At 50.8% G+C, this 22,674-nt stretch overlaps 1 protein-coding gene across 1 annotated transcript, besides 10 other annotated features; it reads left to right on the forward strand.

Moving 5' to 3' along the window:
- Nucleotides 1-430: a silencer, noted in NCBI's record as "silent region_15069". NCBI's record gives its function as "represses an Ori minimal core promoter by ATAC-STARR-seq in GM12878 lymphoblastoid cells {active_cell/tissue: GM12878}" and the evidence as "EXISTENCE:reporter gene assay evidence [ECO:0000049][PMID:35858748]".
- Nucleotides 364-22,674, forward strand: NRROS (negative regulator of reactive oxygen species). Its single transcript, NM_198565.3, has 3 exons — nucleotides 364-545; nucleotides 15,197-15,317; nucleotides 20,422-22,674. The coding sequence occupies exons 2-3, from the start codon at nucleotides 15,210-15,212 to the stop codon at nucleotides 22,390-22,392; spliced, it is 2,079 nt and encodes a 692-aa protein (NP_940967.1). The 5' UTR covers nucleotides 364-545; nucleotides 15,197-15,209; the 3' UTR covers nucleotides 22,393-22,674.
- Nucleotides 451-550: a silencer, noted in NCBI's record as "silent region_15070". NCBI's record gives its function as "represses an Ori minimal core promoter by ATAC-STARR-seq in GM12878 lymphoblastoid cells {active_cell/tissue: GM12878}" and the evidence as "EXISTENCE:reporter gene assay evidence [ECO:0000049][PMID:35858748]".
- Nucleotides 1,001-1,120: an enhancer, noted in NCBI's record as "active region_21097". NCBI's record gives its function as "activates an Ori minimal core promoter by ATAC-STARR-seq in GM12878 lymphoblastoid cells {active_cell/tissue: GM12878}" and the evidence as "EXISTENCE:reporter gene assay evidence [ECO:0000049][PMID:35858748]".
- Nucleotides 2,289-2,638: an enhancer, noted in NCBI's record as "active region_21098". NCBI's record gives its function as "activates an Ori minimal core promoter by ATAC-STARR-seq in GM12878 lymphoblastoid cells {active_cell/tissue: GM12878}" and the evidence as "EXISTENCE:reporter gene assay evidence [ECO:0000049][PMID:35858748]".
- Nucleotides 2,659-2,718: an enhancer, noted in NCBI's record as "active region_21099". NCBI's record gives its function as "activates an Ori minimal core promoter by ATAC-STARR-seq in GM12878 lymphoblastoid cells {active_cell/tissue: GM12878}" and the evidence as "EXISTENCE:reporter gene assay evidence [ECO:0000049][PMID:35858748]".
- Nucleotides 4,163-4,212: an enhancer, noted in NCBI's record as "active region_21100". NCBI's record gives its function as "activates an Ori minimal core promoter by ATAC-STARR-seq in GM12878 lymphoblastoid cells {active_cell/tissue: GM12878}" and the evidence as "EXISTENCE:reporter gene assay evidence [ECO:0000049][PMID:35858748]".
- Nucleotides 4,343-4,582: an enhancer, noted in NCBI's record as "active region_21101". NCBI's record gives its function as "activates an Ori minimal core promoter by ATAC-STARR-seq in GM12878 lymphoblastoid cells {active_cell/tissue: GM12878}" and the evidence as "EXISTENCE:reporter gene assay evidence [ECO:0000049][PMID:35858748]".
- Nucleotides 8,358-9,123: an enhancer, noted in NCBI's record as "OCT4-NANOG-H3K27ac hESC enhancer chr3:196374559-196375324 (GRCh37/hg19 assembly coordinates)". NCBI's record gives its function as "activates a minimal SCP1, AML or CMV promoter by ChIP-STARR-seq in naive H9 embryonic stem cells {active_cell/tissue: H9 hESC(naive)}" and the evidence as "EXISTENCE:reporter gene assay evidence [ECO:0000049][PMID:30033119]".
- Nucleotides 11,422-12,187: an enhancer, noted in NCBI's record as "H3K27ac-H3K4me1 hESC enhancer chr3:196377623-196378388 (GRCh37/hg19 assembly coordinates)". NCBI's record gives its function as "activates a minimal SCP1, AML or CMV promoter by ChIP-STARR-seq in naive H9 embryonic stem cells {active_cell/tissue: H9 hESC(naive)}" and the evidence as "EXISTENCE:reporter gene assay evidence [ECO:0000049][PMID:30033119]".
- Nucleotides 20,344-20,919: an enhancer, noted in NCBI's record as "H3K27ac-H3K4me1 hESC enhancer chr3:196386545-196387120 (GRCh37/hg19 assembly coordinates)". NCBI's record gives its function as "activates a minimal SCP1, AML or CMV promoter by ChIP-STARR-seq in naive and primed H9 embryonic stem cells {active_cell/tissue: H9 hESC(naive and primed)}" and the evidence as "EXISTENCE:reporter gene assay evidence [ECO:0000049][PMID:30033119]".

Raw genomic sequence — 22,674 nt, forward strand, 5'->3', positions numbered from 1 at the left:
ATAAGAAGACAGACTGGCTGAGCGGCTGACCCTGCCAGACGACAGGCTGTGCCTCTTTACCACGGTGCTGCCGTTCCCAAAGTCGGCCTCAGCTTGGTCCTTGGCTGGAAGCTCGTAGCAAAGTTTCTGGGTCAGCAGACCTCATAGGCAAGGGGCCCCTAGCTGGCCGCCCCCAGCCCTGCCAAGGCACCAACGCAAGAAAGCCGGGGGAGCCTCGGTCGCATTGCTGGAAGATCGTCTAAACATCCCCGCTGCTCGGCCGCTAGGCCGGCAGGTGTTCGGGCCCCGCTCCCCCGGCCCGCCCCACCCCCGCGCCCGCGCCGCGCTTCCCTCTAAGAGGCCGGGTCTGAGTGAGCCTGTGCTGAGTCGCCGAGCAGCCCGCTCTCCATGTGACTTCAGTTTCCGTCCGTTCCTTCCGCTGGTGCTAAAATAATCTGATGCCCCACAGCAAGGAGGTAGCCCAGCCCCGCGTTCGGCTGCTCTCGAGGAGGCCGGAGCCCCCGGAGACGATGCGCCCCGCGCAGCCGCCTGCGCCTGCGGGAGCCGTGAGTATTTCCCGCGTGGGGGCGTCCCCGGGGCACAGCCGGGGCCCTTCTCCAGGTGGGCGAGCTCGAGCGAGGTTGGGTGGTAGGAGGTCAGCGTCCGCGGCCCGCAGCTCAGGGCTCACGAGGAAGCTGTGGCTTGCTGCGTCCAAGCGCCGCCGCTTTTGTGCTGGGCGTGGGGGCTGCAGCTCTGGGTGGAGGTGGAAATACCTCCCTCCAGGAGCACTTAGAGCTGAGAAAGGTGGTGCGACGTAGTGGAAACCACGAGGGCTTCAGATTCAGACGTGGGTTTGAGTCCTGGCTCTGCAGGGAGCATGTGAGCAGACAGTTAAGGTTTCTGAGCCTCAGTTTTCTCATCTGCAAAATGGGAACAGAGATGCTCCCTCCCTGGGCTGGGCGACTGGATATGATGAGACCGCTCTGTGCACACTCAGCATGCTGAGCACTGGGCTCTCCTTTCCTGTCCCACAACGTGGATTGAGAACCACTATCTCATAGATGAAGACACTAAGACTGGTTAACAGCAACACCTATCACAGATGCCGTCCACGTGCCAGGCCTGTCCAAGGCCCTGGGGATACAGCTGTGAAAATGTGCAAAGCCCCTTCTCCCACAGAACGTTTGTCCTTGGGAGATTCACTGGGGCTCTGTGACTTGGATCTTAGCCTAGACTTAGATCCATGGCTTATCAGAGGGAGACTAACAGGAGGGCGACGAAGACTCGGACGCTCTTCCGTAGCCCTCGTGGCCCCTGCATGTGGGCCGGCTTCTGAAGGGGTCAGCGTACTTCCCCACGTACCCAGGAGCTAGACGGAAAGAAGTAAGGAGCCACTGGTGTGGCTTTGTGCTGCCTCTGAGAGAAGGTGGACACGTGCCAGTTGGTGGCTGCGACTGGAGGAGGCCGGATCGGGGGTCCTAGGAATGGAGCCTCTCCGGACAGGGCTGGTCGGGGCTGCTGTGCTTCCCTAGGGGCTGAGGGGACCCCACCGGAGGCTTCTTCATGATGGGCACAGCCCGTTAGGAGTCTGGGTGCTAGAAACATTCAGCGTCTGTGGCCCTCCATGCTTTCCTGTGTGCTCCTCACCTGCCGGCTGTGACACACAGACTGTTCTGTGGATGCTGAGGGTTTGCTGGGCTTTACATTTACAATACGTATTTATTCTCCTCACACACCTCTTAGGTTTGTGTGTGTGTGCCCGAGAGTCCCTAAAGGAGATTATAGAATCATGGGCCCAGGAAAAAACCTTAACTCCTGCCTTTAGGTTAAAAAAACAAAACAAAACAAAACAAAACAAAACAAACTCAGCTTCACAAAGAAGGCACTTTTTAAAAATATATATATTTATTTATTTATTTTTAGAGACAGGCTCTTGCTCTGTTGCCCAGACTGGAGTTCTGTGGCACGATCACAGATCACTGCAGCCTCAAACTCTTGGGCTCAAATAATGCTCCTGCTTCAGTCACCTGAGGAGCTAGGACAACAGGTGCACACCACCATGCCAGCTAATTTTTAAAATTTTTTTGTAGACACAGGATCTTGCTGTGTTGCCCAGGCTGGTCTCAAACTCCTGGGCTCAAGCAATCCTCCTGCCTTGGCCTCCCAAAGTGCTGGGAGTGTGGGCGTGAGTCACCGCCCCCAGCTTTCATGTAATGAGTGCCCTCATGGGAACTTCATGAAAACACATTCTCTTATAGTTTTTAAATTCATCATCCAAGAGTTCCTGCTCTTTGATGATGAGACATACCTGGTAGACTCCAAAACAGAGAGCAGACGCCTAGTATCTTTGTTCTGGGGTGTGCATTAAGAGTACATTGACCTGTCTGTCTCCAGTCTTGACTCTTTTGGAAGAGAGATGCTAGTACTGATGACAACCTGCATTCTGGCTGCGGTGTGCGTCCACACTGCACAGTGTGCACCAGACTCTCGTATGGACAATGACTGTCCCTCACATCAGGCGCAGATCCATTTTAGAGCCTCAGAAGTCAGGAGAGGGTGGACTTTCAACCACGACTGAAAACACTGTCTTTCTTAGGACATGCTGTGTGTATGACACACTTACAGATGTCTGTGCTCACTGATGCTTGTTGATGTGTCATCGCACATCAGTGACAAACATTTGTCATGTTTTTGCCTTTGGTGGAACTTCTTTATTATACTCACTTTCCTCCCAAACCATTTTTCTCAACTTCATCATGAAGCAAATGTCATGTGGTCATTCTGTGATGGGGCTCAGGGCTAGGTTAGGTGATGATTTCTGAAAGCTCAGAGACGTGAAGGAAAAAGGACATCAGTGCTTGGATCTTAGCTCTTATAAGCCTCACGTGCAACAATAAACCCGAGTTCAAGAATCAGATTCTTAGATAGATTGGTTTGGTAGCAAATGACAAAAAACCAACGTAAATATGCTTCGGCAAAAAAGAAAAAAAAAAAGGATTTATTGTTTCAAATAACTGAAAAGTGTATGGGCAATAGTTTCAGGCATGGCTGAGTCCAGATGCTCAAATGGCATTGCCAGGAATCCATCTGTCTCCTTTCCTCAGCTTTGCCTTCCTCTCTGTGGGCCTCTTTACCAGGCAAGTCCCGGAGCTGGTGGCAAAGATGGCTGCCTGCAGCTCCAACTATATTCCTACTGGTTTGGCATCTGAAACAGAAAGAGCAAGTCTCCTTTCCATGAGTTCTAGCAACTGCCCGTGGATTGATTCTCATGGGCTTGGCTTTTATGATGAGCCTGTTAGGAAAATGGAGTGCTCTCACGGGCCCAGCCTTACTCATAGGCCCCGCCCTGGAACCAGGAGCTGGGATCAGACCCGAACACACAGACTTTTGAAGAAAGGAAGGGGGTTGGTTGCACAGCCGCGTAAGGGTACTTAACACTACTGAATTGTACACCTAAAAATGGTTAAGATGGTCACTTTCGGCCGGGCGCGGTGGCTCATCCCTGTAATCCCAGCACTTTGGGAGGCCGAGGCGGGTGGATCAGGAGGTCAGGAGTTTGAGACCAGCCTGGCCAAAATGGTGAAACCCCGTCACTACTAAAAATACAAAAATTAGCTGGGTGTGGTGGTGAGTCCCTGTAATCCCAGCTACTCAGGAGGCTGAGGCAGGAGAGTCGCTTGAACCTTGGAGGCGGAGGTTGCAGTGAGCCGAGATGATTGTGCCATTGCACTCCAGCCTGAGCCACAAGAGCAAAATTCTGTCTCAAAAAAAAAAAAAAAAAGATAATCGCTTTCATGTTTTGTGTATTTTACTACAATTAAACATTTTCTAAAGAAAAAAAGGAAAGAAAGGGGGTGATTTTCTCAAAGGGGAATTGAGGGGTTGTTACCAGAAGGAGAAACGAATGTGAGTGAGTAGGCGAAACCAACCAATTTCCAGAGCGAACGGAGTCAGGTGCTGACCCCAAGCCAATGTGTCTTTTCTCACTTTAATGCCTGAGGGATTTCAGAGTGAACAGAGTGAAGAAAGGAGGAAGTGGAACCTCGTCATGGTCCTCACCCACGAGGTGGGCGCGAGGAGCAGGCTGGTACTGGATAGGCTCAATGTGGCCACAAAGCCTGGTGAGGTCACAGGGACTCCCCTCCTCCAGCCCCAACCCAAAAGGTTGCCTAAGGCAGGTGCTGCGCCATGTGCACCAAGCAACTTTCTGCTGCCACCTCCAAGAAAGAGAAGGACCGGGAGGGGATTTCTCCCAGGAGAGAGAGCACATAACGCTCCGTCTTTTCACCTGTCTGTTCTCAAGCAGGACCTAAGTGTCTAAGGCAACCCCACACCCACAGTGCCTGGCAGGGGCCCACCCATGGGTACACATCGTGTTCTCCTAAGCTCATGTCACTCCATTTCAGATGTCAACTGGACATGGACTCCTGCTGATCCTCCCTACTGTCATTCACTCCTCTCCTGCTCCAGCCCTGATCCCTGAGGTCTCTTCTACCCTTGCAGTGTCTCCCCTCTGTGGTCCTCAGGCACCAAGGCTGAGCCCTTTCCCTCGGCCCTGCAGTGTCTCCCCTCTGTGGTCGTCAGACACCAAGGCTGAGCCTTTTCCCTTGGCCCTGCAGGCTCAGTGGGGAGCAGGGCTTTCCCTGCCTGGCCCTGGACCACCTCCTTCAACTTCAGCAAGTTAGCGGTCTCCCTGTCACCAGCCAGCCTGACACCCTGAGACCTCCTCATGGGCCTCGGCCGTTCTCTTGTTCTAGGTTATTGGGCCCTTCCTCAGGTCCTTAAACTGATGCTTCCATTCAGCTTCTCATCTCCTTCCAAATCCCCAGTTTTCTTCTAGGCTCTCTGGCTAGAGAAGGTTAGAGCCATTTTGAAGGCCTCTGACAGCCCCCGTCTTGCTTTGTCTCCACAGAAGGCCATGGTCCCATGATACACTCAGGGGTGCTGTTCAGAATATCAGGCACCGCATGGCACAGCTACTTGGGAGGCTGAGGCAGGAGAATTGCTTGTACCCTGGAGGCGGAGGTTGCAGTGAGCCAAGGTCACGCCGCTGCACTCTAGCCTGGGTAACAGAGTGAGACCCCGTCTCAAAAAAAAAAAAAAAAGTTAAATCACTTGATATGCATTCTGAAATATTTAAAGGAAAGTATATCAATGACTGCAATGTACTTTGAAATGCACGATCAGGCTGGGTGCAGTGGCTCACACCTGTAATCCCAGCACTTTGGGAGGCCAGGGCGGGAGTTTGAGACCAGTCTGGCCAACATGGTGAAACCCCATCTCTATTAAAAATACAAAAATTACCCGGGTGTGATGGTGATCTGTAGTGATCTGGTGCCTGTGATCCCAGCTACTTGGGAGGCTGAGGCAGGAGAATCTCTTGAACCCCGGAGGCAGAGATCTCAGCGAGCAGAGATCGCACCATTGCACTCCAGTCTGGCGACAGAGTGAGACTCTGTCAAAAAAAAAAAAAAAAAAAAAAGAAAGAAAGAAAGGTGGCATGGGTGGTGCTGTGTGCCTGTAGCCCCAGCTACTCGGTAGCCCTAGGTGGGAGGACTACTTGAGGCTGGGAGCTTGAGGCTGTAGTGTGCTACAATCCCATCTGTGAATAACTACTGCACTCCAGCCTGGGCAACATAGCAAGACCTCTAAAAAAAAAGGAGAAAGAAAGATGGACAGAAGGATAGATAGATGGATAGATGTATGTTGTTGGGGAAAAGTTAAATGACTAACAGTACCTAGTAACTGTTCACATTCCTTGTCATGATCATAAAAATCAAATAATAAGAAATTAGAAAACTTCCATAGGAAATGTAGCTACCTATAATACACTGCCATATGAATTACTGGGTTATTGCTCCACTCAACTTTTAGCTTGTGATGAGGAGGTGATACCAGCACTGAGCCTGCAGGATGAGTAAGAGCTTTGCAGGTGAACAAGACCAGCAAAAGAGCCTTTCCCACAGAGGACAGAGCGTGTGGGCATGCGTGATTTAGTCAAGGGTCGCAGGCATCCCAGGGTGGCTGGGGCTTGTGGTATTGAGGTTGAGCTGATGCAGAAGTCACAGACCTGGGTTTGAATTGTGGCTCTAACATTCTCTAGCTGTACAGCCTAAACCTATGTGAGCCGCCATTGACCAAGTGTGAAATGGAGATGACAACATTTACCTGCTAGGATTTTTGTGGGAATTATATGTAAAGTACCCGGTATAGCCCGTGTTCCAAGGTGAGCACTCAGTAAGCATGAGCTGTCACAGTGAAGAGCCCGGACAGAATCTGGGAGTGATTATGCAGACCTCGAACACCACTGAATTGACCTTTGAATCGGCCTCTTGTCAGGAATCCATATGCTTTCGTTCTTCAATCGTACACTTTCTCAAGGAAACCAAGTAGTCGGGGTGGGGGGATATATTTTCATTGTTTTCCCACTGGGGCCACTAAGCCGCTGTCATCACCCATAAAAAACCCCTGCCCACAGTCTACCGTGGACCCTGGGTGCTCGCTTCTCCCCTGGACATCCCAGGGTCCACACGCTGCAGCTCCCAGGGGTGGGAGAAGGGACGAAAGCTCCTTCTCCTTCACTGTATTTCCCTCAACACCAGCTTGCTGTTTGCACAGAGGAACTCTGCTTTCCCTTTGATTAATACACCTCTTTGTCTCACTATGGAAAGCGTCTGTCCCCCTCCAGTGGGGGCGTGTCCTCCTGCAGGCCTTGGAAGGCTTGGTGGGGTCCCCCGCCCACTAAACGTGAAGTCCGAACATTCCCTTACATCGACAAAGCCTTTTCACACACACTGTCCCATTCAGTCTCGACACAACCCTGTGAGGCCATCAAGGCAAGTGCTGTCCTCCGTGGTCACCACCAGAGTGAAGGAGCCAGGCTTGGGCCCAGGCCTCCTTCCCCAGCCCAGGGTCCCTTCCTCTACACAGGTCCCACCTGCTCCTTCTTATCGAGAAGGGCGGTGGCAGGTAGCCACTCCCTCAGAAGTGACCAGAGGGAACAAACTTGTGATACTGAAGGGAAATCAGATGCTAATGCGTTATGCGGTTGAGCGCCTATCAGCAGAGATTATGTGGGTCTCTCCTATAGAAAGGTGACACCGAGGACCTACCACCAGCCACCACCAGCATGCAAGGGCGAGGTGTCACCTCCCAGTGGGAGCAGGTTTGCATTTATTAAGACCTGTGGCCAGATGGCAGCCTGTGGGCATGGAACAGGACGAGGTGGGCTGACCTCTGATGGCTCTACCAGGCCGACGCTGACCACGTAGGGAAGCCAGTTGGCTTATTCGTGGCCCTAAGGAAGTGAGGGCTGAGCAGGGAGGTGCTCAAAGCGGGCTCCTCACACTGGCTGTCTGGAGTCGCTGTGGGAAGGGCCCAGGGGAAGAAGGGTTGCTGGGGCCTCTGAATCCCCCCCCGATGGAGGCAGAGCCTCATCCATTCCCAGAGAGTCTCTCGCCACGAGCCCCGGTACAGCGCAGGCTGACCAGAGAACCGGAGAACCGGGTGGGAACCGGAGATCTGAGTTGAACCAGTGCTGGGAACCATGGCACTGCCTTCGCCGAGCCGCCGCGTGCCTCTCTTTTCACCTCTCTGGCCTGCATATTCTTTTAGCAAACTTGGGGATTATACTACACATTCTGCTTTACACTTTCCTTTCCTTGATATTATTTTATTATGAACGTCTTTCTGCGTCAATCAATATATTGCTACCAAAGCATTTTTTTATCATACCACGTCATTCCTATCATGTAGTTTTACCATAACTTATTTAGCCAGTGCTTCCATTATTGGACTTTTGATGGTTTCCACTTTTTTATTATTCTTACTAATGTTACAATGAATATTTCTTTTAAAATATTTTTATGTACATTGTATTTCCTTAGGATAAATTCCTAGAACTTGAGTCATTGAATCAAAAAGAATCCAGACTTTCAAGGTCTTTGATAAATTGGCTAAATTGTTCTTCAGAAAAAGTGTGCCAATTTTCTGTTCTACCTGCAGGGTGTGAGACAGTTCTTAGGGGGGGAGAAGTCAAAACAATTGTATTGTCTATATTTTGACAAATTCATTATTAAGAGAAAGCTAGAGAAGCAAATCACAAGCTCTGAATTCACACATCACAATTCTAAATGTTTGTTGTTCTAATCCTCAATTTCAAGTTCTTGTTAATGCATCCACCATTTGAATATTTACTTTTTCAAAATATAGGAATGTGTTAATTTACCAAAGATCACAATCGGTTCTTTGCTTTTTGCTTATTTTTTGAGACAGAGTCCCACTTCGTTGTCCAGGCTGGAGTGCAATGGCATGATCTCGGCTCACTGCAACCTCTGCCTCCCAGGTTCAAATGACACTCTTGGCTCAGCCTCCCGAGTAGCTGGAATTACAGGTGCCTGCCACTATGCTCGGCTAATTTTTGTATTTTTAGTAGAGACGGGGTTTCACCATGTTGGTCAGGCTGGTCTCAAATTCCTGACCTCAGGTGATCTGCTGGCCTTGGCCTCCCAAAGTGCTGGGATTACAAGCGTGAGCCACTGCGCCCAGCCACCTGGCTAATTTTTGTATTTTTAGTAGAGACGGGGTTTCTCTATGTTGGCCAGGCTGGTCTCGAACCCCTGATCTCAGGTGATCCACCCACCTCGGACTCCCAAAGTGCTGGGATTGCAGGTGTGAGCCACTGTGCCCAGCCTGTATTTCCATTTTTAACATAACAAATGTTTCCTGAGCACCTTTCTGAGAAGAGTGTTTGAAAAAGGTATGTTAATGATTCCTGGAAATATGGGGACAGAGATTACCATAATTTAACATCTCTTTTCAGGAACACTTATTTCATTTTCCTCATTTTTAAATGTGAGTACTTTAAAACTTACAGAAAAGTTTACAAGAAAGTACAATACTAAATTTACCGAGTAGTAATATTTTGCTTTACTGTCTCTATTGAGCCATTTGAAGGTAGTTTACATAAATTACGGACATCATGAAAGTTCCCTGTAAGTGCTTCAGCATGCATTTCCTAACAATAGAGGCGATGTCTTACATAACCACAGGCTTGTTATCCGACCTGCAGACCTCATATCATCTGTGCATCTGAAAACTCATCACTTAGTGCCTATTTAAATTTCCCCAATTGTCTCATACTTTTCTGTTAGAGATTCTTTAAAATCCAACATCCGGCCAAGCTCAGTGGCTCACGACTGTAATCCCAGCATTTTGGGAGGCTGAGTTGGGTGGATCACCTGAGGTCGGGAGTTCAAGACCAGCCTGACCAAAATGGAAAAACCCCATCTCTACTAAAAATACAAAATTAGCCAGGCATGCTGGTGCATGCCTGTAATCCCAGCTACTCAGGAGGCTGAGGCAGGAGAATCACTTGAACCCGGGAGGCGGAGGTTGCAATGAGCCGAGATTATGCCATTGCACTCCAGCCTGGGCAACAAGAGTGAAACTCCATCTCAAAAAAAAAAAAAAAAAAAAAAAATTCCAACATCCACTCAAGGTTCATTCACTGCACTTGGTTAAATGCTTCTTAGTCACTTGTAATCTAGAACAGACACCCCCAGCCCCACTCCAGCCTTTCTTTGATTTTCAAGACTGACTCTTGAGAAGTCCAGGCCAGTTACCTTGCAGGACGTCTTACAGCCCAGATCTGTCAGAGGCTTTCCTCATGACTGGATTCAGGGCAAGTGTTTCTGGCAGGCGTTCCACCAGGACAGTACCCTGTTTCCTAAGTCATCACACTCAGAGGCTCAGAATGGCAGGAGCTCTCACCACGGGGGTGTTGAGTTTGGACATTTGGTGAAAGTTGAGGTCATCCTAATGTTTTGCTAAGAATCAGAGGGACCAGAGCTGCTTGCTTGAGACTTCCCAGTGCTTCCTGGAGAAGGGACTGTTGGAAATGGTCACAGACTGGGGGTTGGTTTTGTTCTGTATCATCTGTTCTCAGTGGTCTGTGACCAGCTGCCCTTCCCATTCTCCCAGATCCCAGGTGCAATTGCTCTTTTTCTTGCAGTCAAAGGCAGACTCCCTTTCTTGTGGAGGCCTCCATCCGGCACCGTGTGCCCTTGTGTGTCCATGAGTGTCACTGTCACACATTTACCACTGCACCTGTGCGCACTCTGCCTCTGGAGAGCCCTCCCCCAGACCCAGGGAGAAATATTTGTTTCTCTCTTTTTTTTTTGAGACGGAGTCTCGCTCTGTCGCCCAGGCTGGAGTGCAGTGGCGTGATCTCGGCTCACTGCAAGCTCCACCTCCCGGGTTCACGCCATTCTCCTGCCTCAGCCTCCCGAGTAGCTGGGACTACAGGCGCCCGCCACCGCGCCCGGCTAATTTTTTGTATTTTTAGTAGAGACGGGGTTTCACTGTGTTAGCCAGGATGGTCTCGATCTCCTGACCTCGTGATCACCCGCCTCGGCCTCCCAAAGTGCTGGGATTACAGGCGTGAGCCACTGCGCCCGGCCAAAATATTTGTTTCTAGCACAGAGTGCCCCGAGAGCTGCCCACTTTCTCCAGGAGACCTCTTTCCGTAAAGCTTTTTCAGCTTCTCTGATTACTTTGAGGAGAAAATTCTTAACTACGTGGTAACATACGTATGGCACTTGCTCAGAGCCCCTTTAGCGGAGAGGGTCCGGTCCCAGCTCTGGCAGCAGCTGCTCACGTAGTAGCAGTCAGGGGAGGTGGGGGTGGGGACGGTAAGGTGTCCGAGCAGCTCCAACAAGGAGAGGCCGTCACTCTGGCCGGGATAACAATTCAGATATCCAGCGTGCACCTGAATAGTAGAAATCCAGCATCCTTTTCTAAAAACAAAACAATAGCAAAATTCAGATCTGAGCTACTCTGTAGCATTTCTTTTTTTAGAGACAGAGTCTCGCTCTGCTGCCCAGGTTGGAGTGCAATAGCGAGATCTCTGCTCACTGCAGCCTCCACCTCCCAGGTTCGATTGTCCTGCCTCAGCCTCCCGAGTAGCTGGGATTACAGGCATCCGCCACCACGCCCAGCTAATTTTTGTATTTTTAGTAGAGACAGGGTTTCACCAGGTTGGCCAGGCTGGTCTCAAACTCCTGACCTCAGGTGATCCACCTGCCTCGGCCTCCCAAAGTGCTGGGATTACAGGAGTGAGCCACTGCGCCCGGCCATTTTTGTATTTTTTTTAGAGAGGCAGGGTTTTGCCACCTTGCTCAGGCTGGTCTCGAACTCCTGAGACCCAGTGACCCCCCACTCCTTGGCCTCCCAAAGTGCTGGGATTACAGGCGTAAGCCACCGCACCTGTTCGCAACAAACATAATTTCTAAAACAAAGGAGACTCTTTGCAGCGGCTGTACGTTCTTCTTCCTCACTGTCAGCATTCTCTTGTTGCAGAATACAACCTCCATTCATGTTGTTTTTATGAATGAATCTTTTTACCACTTTCTTACTATGACCAGGTCTGGAGGCAGAAAACCACGTTGTCTTCTCTGCCTAAAAAGCAACACCACATCTTCATAGACAAGGTTGGCTATGGAGTAGACTCACAGCATTCCATGATAACTAGTTAGAATGCAGCAGTGTTCCAAATGGGCCAAACCTTGTCCAGACAGGAGCAACAGGCAGCTCAGGGTCCCAGGAACACTCACCAGCTGGCAGCCCCTCGGGAAGCGGCTGGGCTTTCCACCTGTTCCTGCATGCTGGGCACACTCTGGCTTAGATGCCCTCTTACAGCTGCAGATGCTGTGGCGTGGTCCTCAGCCCTGAGGATGTGGGAGGAGAGGAAGCAGTCCTGTGCATGCAGGGGATGAGTCACGGGATTTTGCAGAGAGATATGGCAAGAGGATTGTTTATCTTGGACTCTTTGCAGTGCCATGGCTCTGAGGAAGCTCTCTGCAGCTACACACTCTACGAAGAGTGTTTCTCAACCTCAATGGTCACTATTTTGAAAGCCTTTTATTTCTTTACAGTCATTACATACTTTTAATTTAGCACTGGGTCTTGGCCATTCTCACATGATTGTATTAGTCAGGGTCCAACCAGGAAACGGAAACTGCCCAGATTATTTAAGACAGAGGATATTTAATGCAAGAAAGTGGCAACACATGGTGGAAAAGGCTGAGAAAGCAAATAAACAGTCAACACAGCGACGAGCAGCTTCAGGAAGCTTCTTATCCTCACCTAGGTAGGGTGAGGACAAGAGGAGAAGGTGGGCCAGGCACCATGACTCACGCCTGTAATCCCATCACTTTGGGAGGTCAAGGCGGGCAGATCACCTGAGGTCATGAGATTGAGACCAGCCTGGCCAACATGGTGGAACCTCATCTCTACTAAAAATACAAAAATTAGCCAGGCGTGGTGGCGTGCACCTGTAATCCCAGCTACTTGGGAGGCTGAGGCAGGAGAATTGTTGAACCCGGGAGGTGGAGTTTGCAGTGAGGCGAGATCACAACATTGTACTCCAACCTGGGCAACAAGAGCAAAACTCCGTCTCAAAAAACAAAACAAAACGAACAAAAACAAAGAGGAGGAGGTGGTGTCACCAGAGCCTAGGGGTCAGCGGAAGAAACTCTAGGATGTCTCTGTCCAAGGCAGAGAGGAAGGGAGAGAAGTATGCTGGATTCTTTCTGCCCTCTACTGTCTGACCTCCCAGGAGGAGTGTCTTCCATTGACTAAACCAGCAGAGTTTGTGACAGGTGACAGCAGTTTGAGGCCAGGTGACAGCAGAGTTTGAGATTCAGAACCTTCAGAAGTCAGAGCCCTGCCACACTGAGGAGGGCAGGGAAGGGGAAGGCGCAGCTCTGGGGACAAACCGCTGTCAGCCAGCATAGTCATCTGTGCTCAGGGCTAGCCTTGCTCTGCAATTTATGAATGCAGAGTTTTTAATTGAACCTTCCTGCATATGTTTTACATATCTAGTTGGTATAATTCATCCTTCCAGCCACATTACTCAGGCCTTTATTTTAGACTTTGTGTAGCTGTTGAACTACCTTGGAGATTACACAGGAATAACCAGCACTCAGTCAACTCACTGGTGTTTGGAACTCACAAGTAATAATTAATAATTGTGTTACTTGCTACCTTTACAGCCATGAAGCCCTTTCACATTCATGAGACTGGTTATTCTCATGCAACTCTGGAATAGTTATTATTACTCCCATTTTGTAGACGGATTCTCTGAGTCTTGGAGACTTTGTCTGAATTCCTAAAGGACAAATAACAAATAACAGAGGCAGAATTCAAACTCTGGTCTGCTTGGTTCCAAATTCCATGATCTTCCCATGATATCCTGCTGCTTCCTGCCAGGGCCACAACAAGAGTTTTTTTCTGGGCTGGTTGGCTGAGTTTAGGAGGAAGGAGAGGATATGTTTTAAACTTGCAAAATTCTTGATGACCCATAAATTAAAATGCCCCTCCTGAGTGTGACACAAGGCCTGGCTTGCCTTCCAGTCTGAAGGTTGCCTTTTCGCTGAGGGACCTGCACTCTTGCCCCTTACACGTCTAGATTCAGTTCTTCGATACGCAGGGCTGGCTCTTCCAGAGAGACTGGAGTCACAGCAGCAGGTACCACCCCACACCTGACAAGAGGTGGCCAGGGAGGAAGGGAGGGTTCTTACCTCCCCATCTCCCCTCAGTAAAATTCAGGATGCCCAGTGAAGTTTGAATGTCAGATAAACAATTTGTTAGTATAAGGATGTATCTAGCATTGAAATGATGCCTTGTAATTTACTAAATCTGCAACTATGCAGCCTTATTTCATGGCGGGCAGTGGTGGTGATCCCAGGTTTCAGGGGCGGGGAAGGGTGCTGGGGGGATCCTGAGGTCAGGAACCCGTACACCTCTGCTTCTGCCCTCTCTTCCCTGTGCCGGCCACAAGGCAATGACTCCTGTGTGGGTGCAGAGGCAGAAATGGGTCTGGAAGGGGATTCCCAGTGTCTGGCAAGTTCTGGTAAATTCTGCATTGGAGGTTCTCTCTGTAGTAAGGGGAGTTGGCCTGGCCTGAAGTGAAAGCTGGCTTACCCGGTTTCATTGAGCTCTTCAATTAGTCTGTTTGCACTGGTGAGCATTCAAATCTGATCAAGAAGGTAAAATGAGCTTTCAAGATCCCTAAATGCATTTGAAGAAAGGAAAGAGGAGGCCCCTGAGTGGCTGGAGCGAGCAGGTGGGGTGAGCTGGTGCCGCTGGCCCAGGAGAAGATGGGAGGGCAGACACTGGGCCTCCGGTAGGTGTCAAGGAATGGGCAGATGGAATGCTGGGGCCAGCTCTTGCCTCTGGGTCTGCAGAATGCAGAGCTGGGGGCATGCACTGGGCGTCAGGTCCCCAGCAGGGCAGCAGTGAGTGCAGCCTCGCTGCTGGGAGAAACTGCCCTGCTCACTCATCGGAGCTCGGGGAGCGAGGCGGGGCTGCTCTTAGCCCTGCCACTAAGTTCATCCACAACCTCGAGTAGTATCTCTGGGCCTTTGTTCACCTGGCAAATGTGATGAGTATATTGCATTTCCCTTATGGCTCCCCTTAGTTCTGAATCTCTGCTGGTGCGTGTATACCTTCAAGCCTTCTCATTATTGCTGTTCTCTGTGCACTGGCCAGGCAAGCGGGCTGGCAACCACGTTTCGTTAACCACCTTTATTCTACCCAAAGATTGCTTCTTCATTTTCCCTCCGTGTTTCCCCCGTCCAAGCAAAATATCAAACCTCTTTTTTCAAAGGGTCATAGTCAAATGAGTGAACCAAAGAGATCAACGCTTTTGTAACAGCCCCACATCAGCAGCTGAGGAGTAACTCTGGGACAGAGGCCCCCATCCGTGTTTCCGTCTCCGTCCACTCTCCAGTTGTTCATTCATTCACTCAGCAAGTACTTACTGAGCTCAGGGGATGCATCAGACCGATTGGAGCTGGAGGCAGGAAAACTTCAGCAGAATTACAAAATATGGGAAACTCCAGGTGACTGGAGGCCTGGTTACTCAAGCTTTTTGCTTCTCCCTTCTGTGCTGGACTCGCTGAAGTTTAGTGTTCAGCCACCCGTCCATCAAGTGGTAGAGGCAAAATGAAATTGAGTTCTTGTCAACAGTTTCAGTGAAAGGCCGGAAGTCTTGGCTAAATGGAGGTATCTGAGTATCCTGTGGGCTGCACCTCTATGGAGCTCCACAGAGCTCCAAGACCACATAGAATTGGAACTGGCTCCTTCTGCCGATAATACAAACAGCCCTCTGGGATGTCCTTCTCTGACTTACCTCTTCCCTGCTCTCTGTCCACAGGGCTGCCCTTGAGATGGAGTTGCTGCCTCTTTGGCTCTGCCTGGGTTTTCACTTCCTGACCGTGGGCTGGAGGAACAGAAGCGGAACAGCCACAGCAGCCTCCCAAGGAGTCTGCAAGTTGGTGAGTTTCCCTTGAACCCTGATCTGTCGGCTGCTCCTGTCCTGACAAGGCTTGGTCCATTTGGAAAGCTGACAGATTGTCCATCAGGAAGGGCAGAGAATGAAGGAGCCTGCATCACTCTGTGCCTGCCTAGCACAGGGGCATGTGCAGCTGCCCTTTAACCACAGGATTTTAAGATGCTTCCTGGGAAGAGCCAGGCAGTCCCTGCCCCGCCGTTCTCACGCCTGCTGAGGATAGGAGGCATCCGAGACCAGCCTAGGGCATCCTCCCGGAACAAGAACAACTTGTTAAAAATCTGGATGATTCAGGCCGGGTGCAGTGGCTCAGGCCTGTAATCCCAGCACTTTAGGAGGCCGAGGCAGGCAGATCACTTGAGCCCAGGAGTTGGAGACTAGCCTGGGCAACATGATGAAACCACATCTCTACAAAATACAAGAATCAGTCAGGTGCGGTGGCACACACCTATAGTCCCAGCTACTTGGGAGGCTGAGATGTGAGGGTGGCTTGAGCCCAGGAAGTGGAGGTTGCAGTGAGCTGAGATCATGCCCCTGCACTCCAACCTAGGTGATGGGGCCAGACCTTGTCTTTAAAAAAAAAAAAAAAAAAGCCAGGCGCGGTGGCTCACGCCTGTCATCCCAGTACTTAGGGAGGCCAAGTCCGGCGGATCACCTGAGGTCAGGAGTTCGAGACTAGCCTGGCCAACATGGTGAAACCCCGTCTCTACTAAAAATACAAAAATTAGCTGGGCGTGGTGGTGCATGCCTGTAATTCCAGCTACTTGGGAAGCTGAAGGAGGAGAATCGCTTGAACCCGGGAGACGGAGGTTGCAGTGAGCCGAGATCACACCCCTGCACTCCATCCTGGGCGACAGAGTGAGACTCTCTCAAAAAAAGAAAAAAACAAAACAAAACAAAAAACTGGATGACTGAGCTGCACCGATGGTATGAGAATCTCCGGGTGAGGTGCTTGAGAGCTGGAGAAGCCTGCCTCGGAGTTTGTGGACGAGTTGACCGCTAAGGCTTACACAGCTGCGGGGAGGACTTGCTGCCATGCCACTCTGCAGAGCGGCAGCCCGGACCACGCTCAGGCTAAGAAGACCCGGAGCGTGGATACCCAAGCCTCCTCTAGGGCTTTCAGCCTAGATGTGAAAATAGACTTGGGTCCAAACTGAGAAATTTCCAGTAATTTTCCCCTTCATCTATATAACAATGATATCAAAAGTCTGCTCAAGAAACACATATTTAGGCCAGGTGCATGGCTCACGCCTGTCATCCCAGCACTTTGGGAGGCCGAGGCGGGCAGATCACAAGGTCAAGAGGTCGAGACCAGCCTGGCCAACATAGTAAAAACCCGTCTCTACTAAAAATACAAAAATTACCCAGGCATGGTGGCACATGCTTGTAGTCCCAGCTACTCGGGAGGCTGAGGAAGATTGCTTGAACCTGGGAGGCAGAGGTTGCAGTGAGCTGACATCGTGCCACTGCACTCCAGCCTGGGTGACAGAGTGATACTCCATCTCAAAAAAGAAAAAAAAAATGAAACACATATTTAATAAACATTTCTTGAGCCATATTATATACTAGGCGTTGGGAAGACAAATTGGATGTCAGGGCTAACACTTACATTCAAGTATGTATTCTTAAAGCATAGCTGTCATGGTTTTTAACCTCTTTTAGTAGGAACCTATAACCACTGTGCTAGAGTCTATTCCAATATGACATAGAGGTTACAAGCTAGACTGGCCTGGTTTAAACCCAGCCCCACCCTTAGCTGGTGACATTGGGGTCACTCTAGGTCATAGTTTCTCCATCTGTAGAATATATACGTAATAATAATATCTACCAATAACATCATGCTGTGTTGACTGATGATTAAATGGGTTAATACATGTAAAGCACTCAGGACAGTGCCTGGTAGGTAGTCAGTGCTACGCGTTTTATCCGTTATCACTCATATTATTATTAATCTCTGCTATGTTTGACCTCCAGCATTCTCTTACAGAGGCAATAAAGGATTAACTACACAGTAGTTATTCAGGGGTTACCAGGCACAGGAAGAGGAGAGATAAATGAACAGCCTTTCAGAGTTCAGGCAAGGCCCTCTGCTTGACACTTTCTGGCCCAGTGGGCAGGAGTAGAGAATTGGCTGCCAGGAAGCCCAAAGAGTGGGTTTCCTGTGGCTCTTCCGAGTTGAGGACTGAGAATTGGAGAGTCTGGGTGCCCTCCACTGGCCCTCATCACATTATCCATTTGACCTTATTAGAAAGTGGACGTTGGCCAGGTGCGGTGGCTCCCGCCTGTAATCTCAGCACTTTGGGAGGCCGAAGCAGGCAGATCACCTGAGGTCAGGAGTTTGAGACCAGCCTGACCAACATGGTGAAAGCCCGTCTCTACTAAAAATACAAAAATTAGCCAGGCATGGTGACGGGCACCTGTGATCTCAGCTACTCAGGAGGCTGAGGCAGGCGAATCGCTTGAACCAGGGAGGCCGAGGTTGCAGTGAGCTGAGATCGCGCCACTGCACTCCAGCCTGGGCGACAGAGCAAGACTCCGTATCAAAAAAAAAAAAAAGAAAAAGAAAGTGGACATGGTAAGCTTTTCTGGGATGGCCATATGGTCCTTCTACATCACTTCAGCGGGGCCACAGGGAATTGCAGAGGTGTGACCCACGACTGCAGCAGCTGTGGTGGAACAGCACCCCATAGCGTGAAGAAAGCCCCTGACCACAACATTCTCCAGTGAGTCCACACGCAGGGAGGAGCGCAACACCCACTCACATAAAGACACACACCTGGCCGGGCGCGGTGGCTCACACCTGTAATCCCAGCACTTGGGGAGGCCAAGGCAGGTGGATCACCCGAGGTCAGGGTGGCCAACATGGCAAAACTCTGCCTCTACTAAAAATACAAAATTAGCCCGGTGTGGTGGTGTGAGTCTGTAATCCCAGCTACGTGGGAGGCTAAGGCAGCAGAATCGCTTGAACCCGGCAGGCAGAGGTTGCAGCAAGCAGAGATGGCGCCATTGCACTCCAGCCTGGACGACAAGAGTGAGACTCTGTCTCAAAAAAAAAAAAAAAAGATAAAAATTCTCTTCCAGAGTACTTTGTAATTATAATGCAATCCCAATCAAAATACCAAAGAGGGAAGGGGGATGTGGAAAGAACTTGGCAAATCCTTTCTAACGTTCGTCTGGAAATTAGAGAAACCCAAATGCTCAACAATAGGAGATGATTAATTAGATCATCCTAATAATTATAGCTCACATTTATTAAGCACAGTAAATGTGTTTCACCTCAACAGTCACACTTGATCCTGAAAAAAAACGCTATGCGAAAATGACGAGTATAATTTCGGTTTTACAGGCAGGGTAATGGAGGTCTCTTTCGGTTCCGTAACCATCCAAAGGTCACCCATTTGATCAAAAGCAGAGCCACGAAGCATTGGCCCTGGAACTCTTGCTCTCAGCCACTGTGCTATTCATGAGATGAATGCATATGCTTCCTAAAAAGATTATGATCACATTTATTTGTACTGCCAAGGCAATAAGTCCGTCATACTTTATTGACAGGGGGAGAAAAATAGGTTACTGAACAGTTTGCACAGTATGGTCTTATTTTTGTTTTTTAGACAAAGGTAGGTAATATCTTACGAAAGATCCAGAAAGACATGGAACAGAAGGTGACTGGTGTTTCTCTGAGAGAGAGGCGGAGGTGACAGAAGAGTTGAGGTTTCCATATGTCAATACAGTATCAATGTTTAATTATTGGAAGGTTTTATTTTAATTATCAGATAAAGAACCCGAGGGGCCAAGAAATTCCACTGCTAGTGGTGGTAGAGCCGAGATTCAGATTGAGTCTGTCCTCCAAACCTGTGCTTCTTCTAACCTCTCTCTCGGGATTTTCCTCTTCTGTTGCCGTGCTGCACTTGCCCTCTGGGATTGAACCCACAATTGTAGGCAACCACTGCCCTTGTATTACTGATAAACTTGTGCAAACGAATGCCATTGCTCCTCTATCTTATCACTTAAAACTTCTTTCTGGCCGGGCACGGTGGCTCACGCCTGTAATCCCAGCACTTTTGGGAGGCCGAGGCAGGCAGATCACCTGAAGTCAGGAGTTCGAGACCAGCCTGGTCAACATGGTGAAACCCCGTCTCTACTAAAAATACAAAAAAAGTTAGCTGGGCGTGGTGGCATGTGCCTGTAATCCCAGCTACTCGGGAGGCTGAAACAGGAGAATTGCTCGAACCCAGGAGGCAGAGATTGCAGTGAGCTGAGATCACACCATTGCACTCCAGCCTGGGTGACAGGGTAAGACTTCATCTCAAAAAAACAAAAAACAAAAAAACCATTTTTGTCCTAGACACCTAAATAACATCCTATGGCTGATGGTTGTTTTTGCCAATTTTGCAAAGCGTGGGGTGAATTAAAGTATCCTGCACGTGTGCTTTCTGCAGTGCGACCAGGGTGGCCTCGTCCCTCCCGCCTCCTTATTCTGCATGATCAGAGTAGAGCCCTGTTTAGGAAAAGCACTGAACTGGGCATTCAGAGCCCTGGGCTCCAGTCCCGGCACAGCCACTGGCTCTTCACTTCTCCCCTCCAGACCCACTTTACTTCCCTGTACAATTCAGGATGGTGAAAGCTCTCAAGTCCTTTTTTTTTTTTTTTTTTTTTTGAGATGGAGTCTTGCTCTGTCGCCCAGGCTGGAGTGCAGTGGTGCAGTGGTGCAGTCTCGGCTCACTGCAATCTCTGCCTCCTGGGTTCAAGCAATTCTCTGCCTCAGCCTCCGGAGTAGCTGGGATTACAGGTGTCCACCACCACACCCGGCTAGTTTTTTGTATTTCCTGTAGAGACAGGACCTCACCATGTTGGCCAGGCTGGTTTTGAACTCCTGACCTCAAGTGATCCACCTGCCTCGGCCTCCCAAAGTGCTGGGATTACAGGCATGAACCACCGTGCCCGGCCTTGTCTATCCTATTTTTAAAATGAACATCTCTAGAGCCATCCCCGGCGGTTGCAGGGACAGTCTGATAAGTGAACTAAGTTTCTATGCATAAATGCTTGCCTCTGGGCCTCCTCGCTGCTGACCGGTGTGGTTTTGGCCGCAGGTGGGTGGAGCCGCTGACTGCCGAGGGCAGAGCCTCGCTTCGGTGCCCAGCAGCCTCCCGCCCCACGCCCGGATGCTCACCCTGGATGCCAACCCTCTCAAGACCCTGTGGAATCACTCCCTCCAGCCTTACCCTCTCCTGGAGAGCCTCAGCCTGCACAGCTGCCACCTGGAGCGCATCAGCCGCGGCGCCTTCCAGGAGCAAGGTCACCTGCGCAGCCTGGTCCTGGGGGACAACTGCCTCTCAGAGAACTACGAAGAGACGGCAGCCGCCCTCCACGCCCTGCCGGGCCTGCGGAGGCTGGACTTGTCAGGAAACGCCCTGACGGAGGACATGGCAGCCCTCATGCTCCAGAACCTCTCCTCGCTGCGGTCCGTGTCCCTGGCGGGGAACACCATCATGCGGCTGGACGACTCCGTCTTCGAGGGCCTGGAGCGTCTCCGGGAGCTGGATCTGCAGAGGAACTACATCTTCGAGATCGAGGGCGGCGCTTTCGACGGCCTGGCTGAGCTGAGGCACCTCAACCTGGCCTTCAACAACCTCCCCTGCATCGTGGACTTCGGGCTCACGCGGCTGCGGGTCCTCAACGTCAGCTACAACGTCCTGGAGTGGTTCCTCGCGACCGGGGGAGAGGCTGCCTTCGAGCTGGAGACGCTGGACCTGTCTCACAACCAGCTGCTGTTCTTCCCGCTGCTGCCCCAGTACAGCAAGTTGCGGACCCTCCTGCTGCGCGACAACAACATGGGCTTCTACCGGGACCTGTACAACACCTCGTCGCCGAGGGAGATGGTGGCCCAGTTCCTCCTCGTGGACGGCAACGTGACCAACATCACCACCGTCAGCCTCTGGGAAGAATTCTCCTCCAGCGACCTCGCAGATCTCCGCTTCCTGGACATGAGCCAGAACCAGTTCCAGTACCTGCCAGACGGCTTCCTGAGGAAAATGCCTTCCCTCTCCCACCTGAACCTCCACCAGAATTGCCTGATGACGCTTCACATTCGGGAGCACGAGCCCCCCGGAGCGCTCACCGAGCTGGACCTGAGCCACAACCAGCTGTCGGAGCTGCACCTGGCTCCGGGGCTGGCCAGCTGCCTGGGCAGCCTGCGCTTGTTCAACCTGAGCTCCAACCAGCTCCTGGGCGTCCCCCCTGGCCTCTTCGCCAATGCTAGGAACATCACTACACTTGACATGAGCCACAATCAGATCTCACTTTGTCCCCTGCCAGCTGCCTCGGACCGGGTGGGCCCCCCTAGCTGTGTGGATTTCAGGAATATGGCATCTTTAAGGAGCCTGTCTCTGGAGGGCTGTGGCCTGGGGGCATTGCCAGACTGCCCATTCCAAGGGACCTCCCTGACCTACTTAGACCTCTCAAGCAACTGGGGGGTTCTGAATGGGAGCCTCGCCCCACTCCAGGATGTTGCCCCCATGTTACAGGTCCTGTCTCTCAGGAACATGGGCCTCCACTCCAGCTTTATGGCGTTGGACTTCTCTGGGTTTGGGAATCTCAGGGACTTAGATCTGTCGGGGAATTGCTTGACCACCTTCCCAAGGTTTGGGGGCAGCCTGGCCCTGGAGACCCTGGATCTCCGTAGAAACTCGCTCACAGCCCTTCCCCAGAAGGCTGTGTCTGAGCAGCTCTCGAGAGGTCTGCGGACCATCTACCTCAGTCAGAATCCATATGACTGCTGTGGGGTGGATGGCTGGGGGGCCCTGCAGCATGGGCAGACGGTGGCCGACTGGGCCATGGTCACCTGCAACCTCTCCTCCAAGATCATCCGCGTGACGGAGCTGCCCGGAGGTGTGCCTCGGGACTGCAAGTGGGAGCGGCTGGACCTGGGCCTGCTCTACCTCGTGCTCATCCTCCCCAGCTGCCTCACCCTGCTGGTGGCCTGCACTGTCATCGTCCTCACTTTTAAGAAGCCTCTGCTTCAGGTCATCAAGAGCCGCTGCCACTGGTCCTCCGTTTACTGACCTGGCTGTGTGCCAAGACTCGAAATTCGGTCCGCACACAACAGGACACTTTCTCTGCCAGCTTTCAAGATGTGATGCAGAGGCCAAGTCTGACGAATTGAAGTTTCAATTAAAATTTAATATGTTTCCATTCCTCATCGCCCACCCCACCCCCGCCCCCACCACCGCCCAAGTTCTTTTTCCATCATTATAATTCATCCTCATTATCTTGGTAAAATATTTATTAAGTGACTTTTTCAGAAATAAAAGGCAACGTGTCTCATAAATATTTTTTAAATTAAA

Source organism: Homo sapiens, chromosome 3 (assembly GCF_000001405.40).
Source record: "Homo sapiens chromosome 3, GRCh38.p14 Primary Assembly".
Classification (NCBI taxonomy): Eukaryota; Metazoa; Chordata; class Mammalia; order Primates; family Hominidae; genus Homo; species Homo sapiens.